The sequence below is a fragment of the Homo sapiens genome, chromosome 7 (genome assembly GCF_000001405.40).
Source record: "Homo sapiens chromosome 7, GRCh38.p14 Primary Assembly".
In the NCBI taxonomy this organism is placed as follows: domain Eukaryota; kingdom Metazoa; phylum Chordata; class Mammalia; order Primates; family Hominidae; genus Homo; species Homo sapiens.
In genome coordinates, this window is record NC_000007.14 from 109,646,714 (window position 1) to 109,651,000 (window position 4,287).

Here is a 4,287-nt window from a genome sequence, read left to right on the forward strand (position 1 = left end):
AAGGGTGAAGGATCAAGGGAGGTGTCCCCGCAGTGATCAGACACTTCTGCAATGTGGGTGAATAATCTAGCAGGCATCCCTGCAGTGATTAAACACCAAGGGAAGACTGTCTTCCCGAGTGTGTGACCGGCGCCAGAGTTTTGGGTTCACAGATAAAATGCGTCTCCTCTGTCTCTACCAGAAAAGGAAAGGAGCTGAAATTAAGAGAAGGGAGAGATTGAAGGATGGCACCAAGATTGAAAAGAGAAAGAGGTTGAGGGATAGTGAGGGAGGTTGGAGAAGAGAGTAAAAAGAGGCCGCTTACCAGATTTAAAATTGGTGAGATATTCCTTGGGCTGATTGGTCTGAGGGCCAGAGGTCGTAGGTGGATCTTTCTCACAGAGCAAAGAGCAGGAGGACACGGGACTGATCTCCCAAGTGCGGTCCCCCAATTCAAGTCACAGCACCAAATGTCACACATGTCCATGTGAAGAGACCACCAAACAGGCTTTGTATGAGCAAAAAAGCTTTTTAAATACTTGGGTGCAGGCGAGCAAGTCCAAAAAGAGAGTCAGCAAAGGGAGACAGGTATGGGGCCATTTTATAGGATTTGGGTGGGTAGTGGAAAATTACAGTCAAAGGGGGTTGTTCTCTTGTGGGGAGGGGCAGGGGTCACAAGGTGCTTAGTGGGGGAGCTTCTGAGTCAGGAGAAGGAATTTCACAAGGTTAATTGCTCAGTTAAGGTGGGGCAGAAACAAATCACAATGGTGGAATGTCATCAGTTAAGGTGGGGCAGAAACAAATCACAATGGTGGAATGTCATCAGTTAAGGCAGACACCAGCCATTATCACTTCTTTTGCGATTCTTCAGTTGCTTCAGGCCATCTGGATGTGTACGTGCAGGTCACAGGGGATATGATGGTTTAGCTTGGGCTCAGAGGCCTGACACTACTGACGTAATATTGAGGTTCCAGAATAAAGACAGAGTAATAATAGAGAGTTTATTATCACAATGTTGGTAGGTAAATATAAACCTCCTATGACCACATAATTCATGATTTCAAGTAATTAGCTTTTATCAAAAATATTTTTAAAAACATAGTTTCTTATTCTAAACATATATTGTCTTAATTTGTTTTATGCTGCTATTAACAGAATACCTGAGACTGGGTAATTTATAAGGAACAGGGATTTATTCCTTACAGTTCTGGAGGCTGGAAAGTCCAAGGTCCTGGGGCCTGTATCTGGTGAGGGCCTTCTTACTGTATCATCCTATAGCAGGAGGTTGAAGGGCAAGAAAACATATGCTAGAAACGCAGATTAAGTGAAAGAGAGAGACAGAGAGAGAAGGGAAAGGGGGCAAAATTATACTTTTATCAGGAACCCACTTTCATGATAACTAACCCACATCTGCAACAATGGCATTAATCCACTAGAGCCCTCATGACCTAATCACCTTTTGAAGGTCTCACCTCTCAGCATTGCTTCATTCAGAATTGAGTTTCCAACAGGTGAACTTTAGGGGACACATTCAAATCATAGCACCAGCAGTTAAATCATTTCTCTACCAACCAAGCACACATAAAATAACCCCCTTTATGAATACTTAAATTCCATAGGAAATAACGTTAAACTTTTAAAGAGTGGCTATCTCATACTCCTAAGTAAAGAATAGTTAGAATACTTAAAATCAAACTTTTAATACTTTGGAAAGATCTTGGCCCTTGTTATTACACAGACATTGATATAAATTTACTTTTATACAAAATTGATATAGATTCAACCTAAAATTTATTGTGTCCCATACAAATATTCACTAAACTTTTTTTGTATCTTTTAGGGCAATGCTATAACCACTTCAACATACATTAACACATTTAGCCCTATTAGCAACTTGATGGTTAGGTGCTGTCATTGTTCCCACATTTAGTAAGTTACTTGTAAGAAGCAGATGAGTGCTTAATTTTTCTTACCAGTGACATCAACAGTTTTGCATTTGTTCAATATTTTTTATTAAATCGGTAACTGAGATTTGTGGCTTCTGTGCTTACCTTTCTCATTCCAATAATGTTTGAATTAAATAATATGGGCTTCTAATTTTCATTGGCATAAATAGGGTGACAAAAATTGTACTAATAGTTATCTTTTGGTATTCACAGGGGAATTGGTTCCAGGACATGCTCACATACAAAATTCATGGATGTAGAAGTCCTTGATATAAAATAGTATAGTAAATATTTGCATATAACCTATGTATATCCTCCTGTATACTTTAAATCCTTTCTAGATTATGTATAATCTAATGCAATATAAATACCATATAAATAGTTGTTATACTATACTGTTTTTATTTGTATTATTTCTTATTATTGTATTGATATTTTATATCAGTTTTTATTTATTTATTTGTTTATTTTTTGCAACAGGGTCTTACTCTGTCGCCTAGGCTGGAGTGCACTGGTATCACCACAGCTCACTGCAGCTTTGACCTCCCCAGCTGGGGTGATCCTCCCACCTCACCCTTCCAGGTAACTGGGACTACAGACACACAATACCATGCCTAGCTATTTTTTTATTTTTAATTATTTGTGGATACAAGGTTTTGCCATGTTGCCCAGGCTGGTCTCAAACTCCTGGGCTCAAGGGATCTACCTGCATCAGCCTCCTAAAGTGCTAGGGATTATAGGCATGAGCCACTGTGCCTGGCATTTATATTAGTGTTTTTTTTTAAATTTTTTTTAAATTATTATACTTTAAGTTTTAGGGTACATGTGCACAATGTGCAGGTTAGTTGCATATGTATACATGTGACATGCTGGTGCGTGCACCCACTAACTCGTCATCTAGCATTAGGTATATCTCCCAATGCTATACCTCCCCCCTCTGCCCACCCCACAACAGTCCCCAGAGTGTGATGTTCCCCTTCCTGTGTCCATGTGTTCTCACTGTTCAATTCCCACCTATGAGTGAGAATATGAGGTGTTTGGTTTTTTGTTCTTGCGATAGTTTACTGAGAATGATGATTTCCATTTTCATCCATGTCCCTACAAAGGACATGAACTCATCATTTTTTATGGCTGTATAGTATTCCATGGTGTATATGTGCCACATTTTCTTAATCCACTCTATCATTGTTGGACATTTGGGTTGGTTCCAAGTCTGTGCTATTGTGAATAGTGCCACAATAAACATACGTGTGCATGTGTCTTTATAGCAGCATGATTTATAGTCCTTTGGGTATATACCCAGTAATGGAATGGCTGGGTCAAATGGCATTTCTAGTTCTAGGTCCCTGAGGAATCGCCACACTGACTTCCACAAGGGTTGAACTAGTTTACAGTCCCACCAACAGTGTAAAAGTGTTCCTATTTCTCCACAACCTCTCCAGCACCTGTTGTTTCCTGACTTTTTAATGATTGCCATTCTAACTGGTGTGAGATGATATCTCATTGTGGTTTTGATTTGCATTTCTCTGATGGCCAGTGAAGGTGAGCATTTTTTCATGTGATTTTTGGCTGCATAAATGTCTTCTTTTGAGAAGTGTCTGTTCATGTCCTTCGCCCACTTTTTGATGGGGTTGTTTGTTTTTTTCTTGTAAATTTGTTTGAGTTCATTGTAGATTCTGGATATTAGCCCTTTGTCAGATGAGTAGGTTGCGAAAATTTTCTCCCATTTTGTGGGTTGCCTGTTCACTCTGATGGTAGTTTCTTTTGCTGTGCAGAAGCTCTTTAGTTTAATTAGATCCCATTTGTCAATTTTGGCTTTTGTTGCCATTGCTTTTGGTGTTTTAGACATGAAGTCCTTGCCTGTGCCTATGTCCTGAATGGTAATGCCTAGGTTTTCTTGTAGGGTTTTTATGGTTTTAGGTCTAACGTTTAAGTCTTTAATCCATCTTGAACTGATTTTTGTATAAGGTGTAAGGAAGGGATCCAGTTTCAGCTTTCTACATATGGCTAGCCAGTTTTCCCAGCACCATTTATTAAATAGGGAATCCTTTCCCCATTGCTTTTGTCAGGTTTGCCAAAGATCAGATATTTGTAGATATGCGGTGTTATTTCTGAGTGCTCTGTTCTGTTCCATTGATCTATATCTCTCTTTTGGTACCAGTACCATGCTGTTTTGGTTACTGTAGCCTTGTAGTATAGTTTGAAGTCAGGTAGCATGATGCCTCCAGCTTTGTTCTTTTGGCTTAGGATTGACTTGGTGATGTGGGCTCTTTTTTGGTTCCATATGAATTTTAAAGTAGTTTTTTCCAATTCTGTGAAGAAAGACATTGGTAGCTTGATGGGGATGGCATTGGATCTATAA

General features: G+C 39.3%; 1 annotated feature.

Moving 5' to 3' along the window:
• Window positions 309-1,508: an enhancer, noted in NCBI's record as "P300/CBP strongly-dependent group 1 enhancer chr7:109287079-109288278 (GRCh37/hg19 assembly coordinates)". NCBI's record gives its function as "activates an origin of replication core promoter dependent on BRD2, BRD4, P300/CBP, MED14 and CDK7 cofactors, with strong dependence on P300/CBP, by STARR-seq in HCT116 cells {active_cell/tissue: HCT116}" and the evidence as "EXISTENCE:reporter gene assay evidence [ECO:0000049][PMID:35650434]".